Source organism: Homo sapiens, chromosome 2, assembly GCF_000001405.40.
Source record: "Homo sapiens chromosome 2, GRCh38.p14 Primary Assembly".
NCBI lineage: Eukaryota > Metazoa > Chordata > Mammalia > Primates > Hominidae > Homo > Homo sapiens.
The window spans coordinates 156,504,143-156,519,517 of record NC_000002.12 but is presented as its reverse complement, the minus strand read 5'-3'; the positions used below and the strand labels follow the sequence as shown (position 1 = coordinate 156,519,517).

The 15,375-nt window shown below is 36.6% G+C and overlaps 1 protein-coding gene across 9 annotated transcripts in view; it reads right to left on the bottom strand.

Annotated features, from left to right (window-relative positions):
- The window catches only part of GPD2 (glycerol-3-phosphate dehydrogenase 2), a 186,123-nt gene that overhangs the window by 66,886 nt on the left and 103,862 nt on the right, over nucleotides 1-15,375 (bottom strand). For all 9 annotated transcript variants that reach the window (XM_047443963.1, XM_011510977.3, NM_001083112.3 and 6 more), the window contains exons 4-6: nucleotides 8,598-8,722; nucleotides 7,201-7,298; nucleotides 6,022-6,185 (exon numbers count right to left, since the gene is read on the bottom strand). In XM_047443963.1, coding sequence (XP_047299919.1) covers nucleotides 6,022-6,185; nucleotides 7,201-7,298; nucleotides 8,598-8,722 — 387 coding nt within the window. The remainder of the gene's footprint in view (nucleotides 1-6,021; nucleotides 6,186-7,200; nucleotides 7,299-8,597; nucleotides 8,723-15,375) is intronic.

Genomic DNA, 15,375 nt, shown 5'->3' with positions numbered 1-15,375 from the left:
TTGGCAAATAGGACTTTACATTTTAAAATAAATGCATTATGTTAAGATGAAAATTTTCTTTAAATACACAATTTTAATGTATCATGCCAATACCTCCTCTTATTCAATAGTTCTTTGTTTTTATGTTTTCAGCCACCTCAATTAAATTTCATAGAAATTAAACATTGGGAGATGAAGAAAGGGATTTGGTTATGTTTACTCTTCCAAAGCAATCTGTCCTCTCACTAAACACATCTATCTTGAAAATATTTAAATAGCCAATTATCAAAGAAATAAAATAATGACAAATTACTAGTGGCCCCCCCCCAAAAAAATTAAACTGACTATTCCAAAAGTAAATATCAGTATGTATCTCCAATATGTGTATATTTATTTATAAATTACATAATGTACATATTACTGTTTTTATATATTATAGACATTTGAACCATTTCAAATTTATAAGGAATTAAACTTTAAAAACATATCGAAGTAGAAGTTCTAATGTGTTCCTCCTATACCCTAGTGGATGGGTGTGTGCACCTCATGAGGCTCACATCTTTCACTTTGGAGATTATGGAGATTACCACTCCAATTCACAAGAATTGCATTAAGAAGCAAGTAGCCCAAACTTGCTTAAAGGACTTGCTATTAATATTCTGTTTGTAAATCCACATTGTTCAGTTATCTGTTCAATCTATTTCTATTATTTTGAAGAAATTAATATCTGTCTGATTTAAAGTAGGTAACACCCAATTCATTCAACAACTCTGTTTACAAATAGTGTAAATGAGGATTAAAGGCACCATCTTAAGATTTTACTTATGTTCCAGGAACTCAATGAAAAAACAAACAACAAAAAGACCAAAAAAATCACTTTTGTGATACTGGTAATTGATTTTTTTAGCTTTCCAAGTAGATAAAATCAACACCTTAAAATACTTGTCTTTAACCCGGGCTTTCTTTTATTAAAGTGTACAATTGCAGGTGCATGCCTAGAGGAGTAATAGCTTGCTCCTAACAAAAGAGCCTGGATTCCACAATATGCCTTTTGCCAGAGGCATCGTTCCCCAAAGCATACAGCTAACTGCATCTCCTGCTGTACCTGTAACAATTTAATTGTATAAGTCAGCCTAGTCAAGCACCTCCAGCTCGTGACTGGGAGACATGAAATTCATTGTCATTATTGTCCCTGTCATTTTGGATCATTATATCCTGCTGCAGAATTTTCCTCACTTCAGTGCATTTTTACCTCCAGGAGCCAGGGATTATAGCTGAGGTTGGGGTGGGGGCAGGACCGTGAACTACATTTACCTCAGGGGAGCCAGAGATTAAATTGGCTTTGCTCTCTCACGAGCTGAATTCATCTATTTGTATGCTGTGAATTTTAGGTTGGAATAAAAATGAATATTCTAGTGAAACCTGGGCTTTAATTCCCCCTTTGAAATATGGATGTAACCAACTTTTATTTACATTAGGAAAAGGCAATGTAATTTCTTATAGTTGCTATTTTCATATGTGCATAAGGAATACTTAGAAGCATCGTCGGGTATGAAACAACAGACATCTCTGTCAATGTCTTGACTCTCAGAAAGGAAGAATTTAAAGCTGTAATTTTGTTCTTCAGTTTCATTTTATAATGGCTTAATGGAGGTATTGAATGGTTTTTAATATTTAATGATTTTTAATTATAGCTCATTTTCTGTGTACTAGATTGGATGACTGGAGTCTAACTAGAATAGCCACAAAGATCCACTCTGGGAACAAATAGAGGAAAAAAAAAATAAGTTCCTGAGAAAACTGGCTACCCCTAACAGCTGGTTCACATAATCTCACAGCCTGTCAAGTCACCCAGGCATGCCATGCCCTAAACACTTTCTTCTGACTTGAGAAAGTTGGCCTGGTCACCATACTCTCTACTTGATAACTCCCTTATCAGCAGTAATGGCCAGCTGTGGGTCTCTTCTAGGCAAGTTAGAAAATGCTAGGACATGTCTCAGTCAGAAAACCAGTGAGTTGACTATATGATTACTCTAACAGAATATAAGAAGGAAATACAACTGGAGGAAAAACTGGTATGTCATTTACTATCCCAATTTTCATTTCATATGGATTTCACTGAGAAATTTGAGATTCTCTCTGTCTGCATTTAAAAATATGACAGTTATTCCTCCATTTATGTGAATTTGTTTTTCAGTGGTTAACAATAAAATATGGTACAGATCATACTTATGTCATGCACAGAACAGTAACTATAATTACTACATCAAAAAGTATGAAGGGCCAGATGAAGTGGCTCATGCCTGTAATCCCAACACTTTGGGAGGCCAAGGCGGGAGGATCACTTGAGGCCAGGAGTTCAAGACCAGCCTGTCTCTACAAAAAATAAAAATTAAAAAAAATATATAAAATGTTGGAGGGAAGAGTGCATGGAACTTCTTTATTACCTCTATGAACTTCTGTGGGAGAACAAACTTTGCCTTCATCATATGCAATAGCCATCCAGAATTTAATTAGGATGAACTGTGTTTATGAGAAATTAAAATTTTTATCTTTGTACATTTTGTACTTCAGAGGAAACCTCTTACAGCCCTAACATCTCTGCGTTGAAGATACCTTACAGATCTTCTCAGTGCCTGGTCCATATTAATGGCAACATTTATTAGTTTGTCCCACTATATTTTCACATCATTATATTTCACTTTTCATGGTTGCTGAAGTAAGTGTATAAGATATTACTAATAAGAATTTTTAGTTAGCAAAACTTCTTGCAGCATTAAATGTTCATTTGATTATCTGGTCACAGTGGCTCACGCCTATAATTCCAACACTTTGGAAGTCCAGGGAGGGAGAATCCCTTGAGCTCAGGAGTTCAAGACTAGCCTAGGCAATACAGGGAGACCTTGTCTCTAGCAAAAGTAAAAAACAACTAGCCAGGTATAGTGGCACATGCTAAGTGTAATCCCAGCTACTTGGGAGACTGAGGCAGGAGGATTGCTTGAGCCCCGGAGATTAGAGGCTGTGGGAAGCTATGATCATGCTACTGCATTCCAGCCTGGGTGACAGGGCAAGACTCTGTCTCAAAAAACTTAATTAATTAAAATTAAAAGTTCATTTGATTACTTACGCCACTTTCTCATCAGATTCAAAATTCTCCCTTGGTGGGAGTTATAAAAATTATTTCTGTTCACTTTAAAATGGCTAATTTTAATTGAATTTTATTGAATTTCACCTCAATATGTTATTTTTAAAGTAAATTCAACATTATTTCAAGAAGCCTGAATGCAACTTGAAATCACTTCAGTGACTATTGTTATATTCTCATCATGGTGATTTATGAAGAGTATGTATTTTCCTTGTTAAGAAAAGCTTATCTTATAAACTACCATGTTTAGACTTGGGTTTGCAATGATAAAAGTTCACATTGAAATATTTTCCTCTCTGAAATACTTTAGTAGCAGGATGATACTGTAATAACATTTTTCCAGTCAAAGGGAAAAAAGGCGTTCATTCCTTTTGTTGAGCATGGATTTACTCATTTAATTCTTTTACCTACATGCTCCTCGTCACCTTGTTTCCATGTCGATATTCAATTTGATCATCACACCATATTATGTAAAACAAGAGTTGCCCCACATGTAAATATAGTTGTAAAACCACAAAACTACACTGTTGCACATGCTTGTTTTGCCTCACCTCAAGTATGATATAGTTGGGCCTGTACCATTTCAGAACAAGGTCAAAAGACAAATTATTTATATCAAATGAGTAGAATATACTTATTTTTACTCCTTTGCCTCAAGACTTAAGATTTTACAAGTAATTTCCAAAGAGCAATTTGAAAATATTTTAAATACTTTTTAAATTTTTCAGGAATTTTTGCTAAGCTCATAATTTTGCAACCTATAACAGGCTATAAAGATCAATTCTAGATTAAAGAATTCTTTTTCCTCATGATTCTAAGAGAATAATCTTTCTTCTGCCTTGTGTAACAAAGGTTTCCCTTGGCTTCTCCATGTAGAATCAATAAGAATCTATAATTCACAACAATTCCAAATAAGAATCTATAATTCACAACAATACCAAACCAATGTAAAACAGGATGTCACAAATTCAGATATGACATTTGCTAATATTTCTTTTCTTCTTCTTCTTTTTTTTTTTTTGAAATAGGGTCTCATGCTGTTGCCCAGGCTGGAGTGTAATGGCGGGATCTCAGCTCACTGCAGCCACCTCAGCCCCCCAAGTAGCTGGGACTACAAGTGCATGCCACCGCACCTGGCTAATTTCTTGTATTTTTAGTAGAGATGAGGATTCGCCATGTTGGTCTTGAACTGGGGTCAAGTGATCTGGCTGCCTTGGCCTCTTAAAGTGCTAGGATTACAGGTGTGAACCAACATACCCAGCCCACTAATACTTATTTTTAAAAGATTCAGATATTGACAAGCTTACAAATAAAATTGGTTAGTGCCTAATAGATCACAAAGTATAGAAAATGAGTAAGTATGTGAGAGGGTTTGTGCAGGAGGGATTAGTAATAAGAGGGAAAGGCCACAAACATTTCCATGTCAGGATGGGCAGGACGCTATTTACAGAATGCCTTCATACTCCTCCTGGACCAAAAACCTCTTTACTATAATCACCCAATAAACTACAATGGATTAACATTAAGGGTCCAATGCAGAGAAAGCAAATTCACAGTTAAGGTTGTCCTTTAACATGTAGACTCAATCAAGGGCACCAAAAAAATAGTTAAGTGGCCCCCCTGTGGTGTTCAGATGCTCGGAAGCACTGTAAACTGTGAATTTTCTAGCTTTTAATGTTTACCTAAGACCCTTAACATTTTTCTAATATTGTTGATCCTAGGACATTTTCTTGAGTTTGGTCCCCTTTTCCCTCTCTGTACATATACTTTTTGCATTTATATATGAAAGCCTGACAGCTGAATTGGTTCAGAAATGTAACACTGGAAAGAAGAAAAAAACACAGGGATAGCCTTTGGGACATCCCATAGTATTCAGTATAAATATCAAAGTATCCTGAAAAAAATAAAACAACAACAAATTCTTCTTGCTAAGAGTTTAGATATCTAATACTAGATAGAAAAGATAATACAACGGGGGTGGGGGGCTCACTGAGGTATAAAATCTAAGCTGTCCTCTGCATCACAAAATTTTTAGGACTTTTTGAACATGTATAATTATCTGTGTTCAGCTATTTCCTTATAAATGGACACCCTTGGACTATATTCCAATCTCACACACTCTTTAAAACTACTAGTAAAATTTTACAAATGGCTTTGCCTGTTTTGTTTTATGTTGTTTTGTGGACCATCTGGAGATACATTAAGTGTTCCTTCAAATAAAAGTGTACAAAACTATATTGCATACATGCAAAAAAAAAAAAAAAGAATGAACATTGAACACATGGCAAATGGCCACTATGTAATGTCACTATTAGAAAACATCTAACAACAATAAAATAAGCAATAAAAACTCAGAGCAGTTTAACAGATGCAATGTTCATCTACCTTCGTCATATAAATTATACATTCAAGAATTGTGTCCTGTGCAAAATACAAACATGTCAATTTCAGCCCACAGGGCATTTTTCCCCCTAGGTTTATAACCCCTTGAAAATGGAGGTTTCATCTAGAAAACCTAACATATCCTCAGCTGCTTTCAACATTATAATATATTCATAAGGCAAATATTCACTAGCAAACACATAACAAATTACATGGCATGAGGGTGGGGACCAAATTCATAATAATGAGAAATGGACCAAACCAACCATGAGACACAAAGTAGAAATCAAAGAAGAAAACAAATATGTAAAATAAACAGTATTAAAGGTAAAATGGTATGGTTAGTTTTTCAGCCACCGTTAGAGAAAATGGTGAATATGTGCGTGCACGTGTGTTTGTGTGTTGTGTAAGATTAGTATTTAAAGATGCAAAACTATCTCCTTAAGAATACACTATACGGGTCATGAGTGAGAGAAAAGTATCTTGTGAGGAAAAAAAAAAAAAACATCACATACCGTCATAGTAGACAATTGCTCCTACCAGTTTGTCCTTCTGGAGCATTGGGAAATGTTCAAGGGCTCTTGATTTGCTGAGGACATAACTGCTTTTTAGGCAATTGCTTCCTGCAACCAAATCATACAGCTTGATTCCTACCCAGTAGTAAGGTAACTGCCACCACCTACAGCATAAATAGGGGGGAAAGTTCTTCAGAAACAGAGTATAGCATTATAGAATATTACCTTACACTACAAGACACTTTCATTTAAGAAAAACAAAGCATACCTAGAAGTGGACTGCAAAAGAAACAGACTTATGCAACTGTTTTTGACACCAACCTAGCTGAAGTCTATAAGTAAAATAAATCAATGAGATTTTAAATGAATCTTCTCTGAGGCAGCTGTTCTCAAACTGGCTGAATATTAGAATTCTCTGGGGAACATTAAAAATACTGATGCCTAAGCCTCATACATCCAGAAACTGATTTAACTAGACTAGGGTGGGGGCCTGGATGATGACAATGTACACCCAGGATTAAGAATCACTGGTTCAGGAAGTCCTAAGCGATCTATGATGAAGGATGAACAAAATTATAAAAAATCTGTTTCCAGCCCCCTACAACACTAATGTGGCTAAAAGAGTTACATAATCTACTTGTTCATACTACCTGAATTCCAATGTAAGGCAACTTCATGGATAGCTCTAAAAACATTAGGAAAATTAAGTTTTATAATTTATAATCTGACACTTCCTAACCAAATTTCAGCCTTGGTTAACTCAGACACGTAACATGACTCAAAATGCCTTGGGTTTCAAGTGGTATGTGGTATGTTTACATTTTATAACAGGATACTTTAGCTCAACCATTTACAGTCTGCACATGATCCTCTTATGTTCCTTAATGCAAATGCAGTTGCTCATCTATATACTCTCAGAAACTGGAGTAAGAAACTACTAATTACAAATACAGAATACGACCTCCTTTGCCTTTAAAATCTAGAGATAGGCCAGTAGAGAGTAATTTAAGAAAAGCCATACTTTTAAATACAACAAAGGAAAATACTTCAAAAGGATTAAAGATTAGGACCAATTAAAACCACATTATGAAATATGCATTGAGGGATTATTTCCATTAAAACTGTTGTTCTATTGACCGCAGAGAAGCAAATGCATACAGGTGATATCAAAAGGCTTACTTGTAAACTGGAAGCATTATAGGCAATGGAGCTGATAAATGGGGAGCAATTTCTAGCAGGTTGGCACGCTCATGAAGGGCTTCTTTTACCATCCTATACTGAAAGGCAAAACAGAGAAAATTAGTTTGGCAGTAACAGATCATAATATTTTCAAATGGCAAATAGACACCCTGCCAACTGATTGATACACAGAAACCTTCTATCTCTGAGTGAGGATAGCTCCCTCCTAATCAAATTTCTAATAATACATCATGCTGTCAACCTCAAAGATTTTTTAGAAACCTTAACTGTATTTGCATAGGAGAAAAACATGCTGTCAGAGTTCCCAGGTGTAAGATATTTTCCTGACTTGAGTTACAAGATTATTGTAGCCATTTATCTTGCATCCTCTGGATTGTCTCCCTTTCTCAGTTCCCCATAATATTTTTTCTGTGTAGGAGATAACAGATTGTTCAAATTCATGCTAAAAGTTTCCATCTTGCCTTCATGAAACCAAGCAATGATGCTTCTTAACAGTTGCACAGTATTTTACAGATTATAAAAAGGCTTTTGTCTTAACTGCTGTAGTCCTCATTACGCCTCTCTAAAAAGCCAGCATTGCTATTATAACACTAATTTTACAAATAAGATAACAGACTCATAGATTTTGAGTAAATAAGCCTGAACACATCACAAGTTAGCTGATTCTAAATCCTATGCTGTTTTCTTTGCCTCCATCATGATGCTGAAGAGAAATATAAGGGGACAGATTCAAAACTGACTTGTCAAGAAAAAAAAAGAGACAGATTCAAAACTTGACAATGTCAAGCCAGTGCCACTGTGTTTTTCATGTACAAAAAGAGATAGGAAGTTCAGCTGATTTTTTTTACCCCTCTGGGAAATGTCATCTTCCACACTGCCTTGGCAGTTTTCAAATGGTGGCAGGCTGGACACAATAAAGTGTGACATAAGAAAAGCATGACTCAGATCATCTTTTCCTTCAGAATATGTCAGTGACAATATGAGCCTATGACTGCAGTTGTAGTTAAGAGGATCAATTTCGCACTCCCCCTGCATTACAACATAGCTCCCCTGAAAGTGCTTGCAAAGTAGCAATTTGGTAGCCATTGGCAAAAACCCAAACACAATTGTTAAAAGGCAACACATTCAAAAGTGATTTTGTAAATCTGCTACTTCAACATGCTTGTGAAGAAAAAGCCCCTGATTACCCATAAACATAATACTACAGGAAAGAACTGACACACCTCTCCTGAAAGATATTCCAGCAGAATACACTAAATAGGTATTTCCAACAGGAAGAAATGCTTTTAAGCCATTAAAGAAAAAAAAACCTGATTTAATTGGGTAGAAAAAAGCACAGTTGCAATTTTTGTTTAACAACCAGCATACACAATTACCTGCTCAATATCCAACTTCATGATGGCCTTCTGCAGATATCTCACACCACCATGGATCAATTTAGTGCTTCTGCTGCTGGTCCCTGATGAGAAATCATCTCTTTCTACAAGGGCTGTTTTTAGTCCTGTGTAACCAGAAAACCAAATTAACTTCTTAAATTACACAATTTGTATGTAATTCATTAAAGGCACTTCTCCAGGGTAGAGACAATCACAAGAAAAATTACTCTGAACATGGATAAATTTGTATTCAAAGTGCAGTACACTGTCTATATTATAATGAAGAGATTTTAGGCTCTTCCTGGGGGAAAAGTCAAGCCAGAACTAGAAGCATATTAAGCTGTGAATGAATCACAACTAGAAAATATTACAGTGCAATTTCATGGCAGTAACATACTCTGGTGCACTTAGAAGGTCAAAGGAGAGACTAGCACCCAACTCTACCCATGAAGAGTTAACTGAATGTTGTTGCAAAGCCTTCTAGAACTCTCGTTCATCTCTCACAACAGTCCAGACCTGTCGCAGCCCCTCATCTCTGATCTACTCTAATGCATGCATCATGAATAAATCTAGACTAGACTTCCTTCTGTGTGTTGACTTCTGTTGAGAAATGCATCTGGAGTGGTATTATGGTAGATATACAATGGGGAGAGATAGCAAAGAAAGGAAAGAAAGAAAAAGAAAGGAAGAAAGAAAGAAAGAGAATAAGTTCTGATATTGAGGTGTTTATAGTCTAATTTAAAACCTTTGAACATGACAATATTTTAGAATTACAAAGAAATCCAAGCCAGTAAAAATGAACACTGTGCAGAGTAACCATGAGTAAAGAATATATTCTTGCCAGGCGTAGTGGCTTATGCCTGTAATCCCAGCACTTTGAGAGGCGGAGGCGGGTGGATCACTTGAGGTCAGGAGTTCAAGACCAACCTGGCCAACATGGTGAAACTCTGTCTCTACTAAAAATACAAAAAATTAGCTGGGCATGGTGGCATGGTGGCATGCGCCTGTAATCCCAGCTACTCGGGAGGCTGAGGCCGGAGAATCGCTTGAACCCAGGAGGCAGAGGTTACAGTGAGCCAAGATCATGCCACTGCACTCCAGCCTGGGTGACAGGGTGAGACTCCATCTCAGGAAATAAAAAAAAAAAAAAAAAAAGAAGAACATATTCTTGATAAGGAAAGGCTGAGCAAAGATAGGTCAGTTCTAGAAGTTGCCCATGCCCCCTTTACTTGAGGGCTGTTATAGATCTCCTAGGGATAACTAGTTTTGTTTTGCTGCAGAGACACCCTGCCTCTTCAGGACTGGAGATGACCATCAGTACTACAAGTGCCACACAGGAGTTGAGAGATGAAAGCCAATACGCCAAAAGACCCAAAGAATACATCGACACCAAGCCATGAGGAGTTTTCATGGCCTGGAACACTCTTGGAGGATGAAAGAATGTCATAGAATCCAGTTACAATGAGAATACGTAACTAGAGCAGTTTGGACTCACAAAGTTCATTTAGGAGAACCTGTGCATGTATTCAATTCAAAGCCACTTATTACATTTAATACCAAAGGGTCGTTTTTATAACTTTTAACAGTTTAAATATCGTACCCAAATGTCATCATAAAATCAGGGCAATTCCCTTGACTCAAAAGGACAAAATATTTAGAAGCTGTGGAGAGAAAAGTAGAGAACTTTGATTCAAGGGCAAAAACTGTTAATGCCTTAACTACCTAGAAAAATAACACAAAAGTTACAGGTATCACAGCCCCAGGTCACTCCTTTTAAGTATATATGCCAGAGAAAGACCTGTAAAATTCTCAGCTATTAAAACCCTAGCAATGCCTAGCGAATTTAGTAGTGAATATTCTAAGAACACAGAAAAATATTAGTACATATTTTTAAGAATATTGAGAGCCAAAATCCTGATATTAGAAGTGAATTAGGCATGAACTAGGCTGTCAGGTATCTCCCCGCTCAAAGAAAAGCAAGTATACAAAGTGCAGCAGTTTAATAGAGGCCAAGTTTGAAAATCCAGAAGACTCTCATCATACTCCACGTTAGAAGGTAAATTCAGGATATAAACCCAGAAAAATTAAATCTGCAAATCTCTTAAGAATGCACTATCTCAGTGAGCTATATCACCTTTTCTTAGTAAGTCCAACACAGAGTTCTTCTTCTAGCACTAAAATAGACCATTTTTTCTTCAGCTGAAGATCAGACGAGGGAGTTGACTTTCAAATGATATTTAAGAGCCAGATTATTTAAAATATACCTCTCTTTAAACCCTGGAATCACTGTCATGGCATCAAGATGCCCACACCATGAGAGGCAGGGAAACAAGGTTGAGAGAGGACAAGCAGCCTCCCCCACAGCCCACAGCTTCCTCACCTGGGCCTATCCTTAGGGATACCTACCCTAAGGTATCCTACAGGCTATGGTAGACAGACTACTTAGACAGTCTCCAGTAATCCCAACTGCATAGTATGTCACCCCCTGCCCTGGAGTGTGGGCTAGACTAGCACCTTTCTTCTAATGAGCAGGTGATGTGCCACTACTGTGATTAGGTCATTAAAGACTGGGAAGTGCTCTCTCTCTTTCCAGTATTCTCTATTGCCCTCCTGCTTGCTTGCTCTGGTAAAGCAAGCTGTCATGTTGTGAGTTAAGGAACAAAGGGAGGCTCCTGGTCAACAGGTGGTGAGGAACAGAGACCTCAGTCCAACAACCATGCGAGTTATTAGAAAGCACTGTCCACTATGAGGGATGCAGAGCCACAGTACCCAGCTAAGGCTCACCCAGATTCCTGACTTACTGAAACTGGCTGATGATAATTGTTGTTTTACGCCACCAAGTTTTGGGGATAGTTTTGTAGTGACACAATTCCCTGTGTGAAGATTAACTATAGCCAAGATGGGAGAGATGGGAGTTTTCCTTGTACCTGGGGATGGAGTCATCAGGAAAGAAAAGTCTACAGAGAAGTACGTGTTCAGGGCAGGTGGAGTGAAGAAAGGGAAAGATCATCGACAAAGCCCAGCTTAAGAAAGAGAAGGCAAACGCTTCATGTGGCCTAGCTTATCCAGGGGCTGCTTGTCACTCAGGGGTTGGAGTGCAGGTACAAAGAATGGGCAAGGCAGATCTCAGAGGGCTCTTCTTACACATTCAGGTATTTGGATCTTGTCCTGTTAACCACTGTTTCTCACAAGTAAGTAATATCTGGATCTCCTCAAAAGGAAGATGCCTCTGAGAACACAGCTATGTGTCCTGGATCAGTTTAAGAAACAAATGTTTCATCAGAAAAAAACAAGATGTGGCCAGGTGTGAGTGGCTCACATAATCCTAGCACTTTGGAAGCCAAGGCGGGAGGATGATCACTTGAGCCCAGGAGTTCAAGACCAGCCTAGACATCATGACAAAATCCTGTATCAACCAAAAAATACAAAAATTAGCCGGGCATAGTGGCATGTGCCTGTTTTCTCAGCTACTTGGGAGGCTGAGGTGGGAGAATCGGCTTGAGCCCAAAAGACAGAAGTTGCAGTGAGCCAAGATTGCACTGCTGCACTTCAGCCTGAATGACAGAATGAGACCCTATCTCAAAAAAAAAAAAAGAAAAGAAAAAGAAAAAGTGGCTGGGCACAGTGGCTCATGACTGTAATCCCAGCACTTTGGGAGGGGTGGGAGGATCACTTGAGGTCAGGAGTTCAAGACCAGCCTGGTCAACCTGGCAAAACCCCATCTCTACTTAAAAAAAAAATTTGTCAGGCACGGTGGTGCATGCCTGTAATCCCAGCTACTCAGGAGGCTGAGGCAGGAGAATCGCTTGAACCCAGGAGGCGGAGGTTGCAGTGAGCCGAGATCGTGCCATTGCACTCCAGCCTAGGTGATACAGTGAGACTCCGTCTCAAGAAAAAAAAAAAAGATGTAGCATGCACAGGCAAGCACTAATATTAGTATTTTTAGTATTTTACACAGTTACAAGCTATCCATTCTGGGGAACCAGGGTGTGCTTGTTAATTTATTATTATAAAAAAGGAATAACATTTAAATTTTTTCTAGAAGTCCTCAGATATTGTTTTGAGAAATACTATTATGCTGACTGTCAGGAGAACTATCAAAATGTTTTCAGCTGAGAAATCAGATTAAGGTTCAGAAAAGATTAATCTGACTGCAGGAATGAGGGGTAGAGGTAGGACTGGAGGCAGGAGACCTTTTGGAGGACCAGTGTCATATAACAGGAGTTGGGGCAATGAAGAATCCGGCCTCAGAAGGCAGAGATGGTATTGAAGGGTGATATAAAGAGAAAATTTTATGGGCTGTGTTGTCAGGATGGATTTTTTTTTTTTTTAATTTCCCAAATTGACAGAGTGTGAGGCAGGGAACTACTCTAGGAATTAGCAAGCCATCTCAGGAGGATATTTCAGGATATTTAAGTGAGAGCTAACACTTTAAAGCTCTCAAAACTGCTTTTTCCAGTATTGGACATTTTAAAAGTTATCACATGTACTTATGTGAGAAACCCTAGTGAATACCAACAAAAGTTAAAATGGGCCTCTCTGTCAAACCAGGCTGTTTTTCTTGTCCCATTATTTCTAGTGTCAAATTATCAAGTTACCCACCAGAATTTCTGGAAAGAAACGATACTGCTCCTTCCAGAGCAAAAACTTAAAATTTTAGTTTCCAAAGTTATAGCTAAATTGATATATTAAAATGCCATGTAACATAAAAGTATTACTGAAAGTTTTCCAAACCACAAAAAACTCTAAAAATTTTCTTTAATTTTCAACTGCTATTATATGCTAAATGTTTTAAATCTCTCATTTTTGTTGAATGAGAAGTAGAAAGGAGGAAAATAAAATCAAGACATTATTAGAAGTCATAGCTGCAACTCAACTATTTCTTAACTAATTAACCAACCAACCAACTGCAATGAAGACAATAACATTTTTAAAAGCCTTTTGAGGTTCTTCTGTGGTTCTGTTATCTAATCTGTCCCTTTCTGTTTCAATTCTCAAAAATCCAAATTGTTTCCTCACCTCAAAAATTACTGAAATCAAATTAAGAGTTCAGTTTTCTGGTATGTTAAGTATAAAGCAAGGAAGTGAAAAGAGGGAGGTGTTTTATCTTCTCAGATAGTGAATAGTATTAAGTGATATTCAATGCTAGCATTTTGTGTTCTTAGGTAAAATAATTAAGCCTGAAGGGCATAAAAAATAATGCACCCAGGATTCAAGAAACTACTCCTTACTATGGATTTGAGGAGGCTGGGGAGAGATCTTCCCTCAAAGTAGAAAGAGTGACCTCCTTACATTACAGGCAGGGAAGGGCTGGCCTCTCTATGTAGTGAAGGTAATTCACTAAATTAGTTCAAGATTTTATAGTAAGTTTGTTTTTCTTTTTCTTTTTTCTTGTTAGCAGCTACTTTTTATGGAAAGCAATAAGCTGTATCTCTATTAAGATGAAACAGAACATTTAGTGGGAGTGGTAGTATCATTATTTAAGGCTTTGTTTTTATTATTGATTACTTTTAGTAGGTAGTCTGGGGAATTTTGCGACAGTAATAAAATACTAATATTTGGAGTAACATTACCTGAAATCTTAGGCAGAATAACAAGATTAGTTAGAGTAGAAGAATAAAGTCAACTTGAAATCTATATTCCATTTATCATCTCATCTGTTAGCAAACTGAAATTGTATCTTCTAGGTGGGGCAAGAGTTATGAACTAACACAGCTCTTTACAGCTTTGTCTTTTCTGACCTGAGTGAGAATTTCTAATTACTTCCAACTAAACCAATTCATGGATCAAAACAGTTGGATGAATATAGAAGGATAATTACAATCTAAGAGGAAAAATGGTACGACATTTAACTTTCACAACATGAAATAGAACAGAAGTATATTTTAATACCTTTTACTGATTATCTTATTATGCATGAAAACATGCTCAATATAATAAATGCAGATAAGCAAAGAGAATAAAATAAAACTCTCCTGTAATCACACCACTCAGAGATAACCACAGTTGACATTTGGGTATTTAAACGTTCACATTTTCTATGCATGTATATAATCACATATGTACATTTTTGTAAAAATAGGATCATATGGTATATTTGATTTAATTTTTTTCATTTAACACTGTTTATTGTAAACACTTACCCATGTCAATAAATATTTTTCTATAATTTCATTTTTAACATGTGGATAATATTCTATTAATTTTAATAATTTATTCAATTTCTTATTTTTGAATATTTGGATTATCCCATTGTTTCACTATTACAGATAGTGCTGCAAGATTATATTTTCATTTAAACTCCTTGTATCTTTAATTATATCATTAGAACAAATTTTAAGAAATGTCACTATTAAGATATTTCTAAATAGAAAGGTGAGAATAATCACTCTGAAATAAGTATCAGAGACACCAAGATAATAGCACAAAAAATCAAAAAATTTAAGATGCTTTGTATGTTAGCACCATAAGAACAGGTATTAAAGCCACATGCTGCATGTAGGAAAAATAATATAGTTTTTTTTTTTAAAGGTGAGTTTATCTTTCTTTAGAAAAGCTTTGGGCACTTAACTTTGGATTTCAGACAGCCATTGCCATTAATAAGAAAAGGGACTAACCCGAAGGCTGAACATTTTATGGGAAGGATCAATTCCTCTAAAATATTATCCTCTTGTAAAGCTGCAAAGTAATCCTGACTTGTTAATCCTCACGATCACGATACAATGCTTTGGCCTGGTATTTTCCAAAAGTGAATATTAGCATTTTATATAAATATATG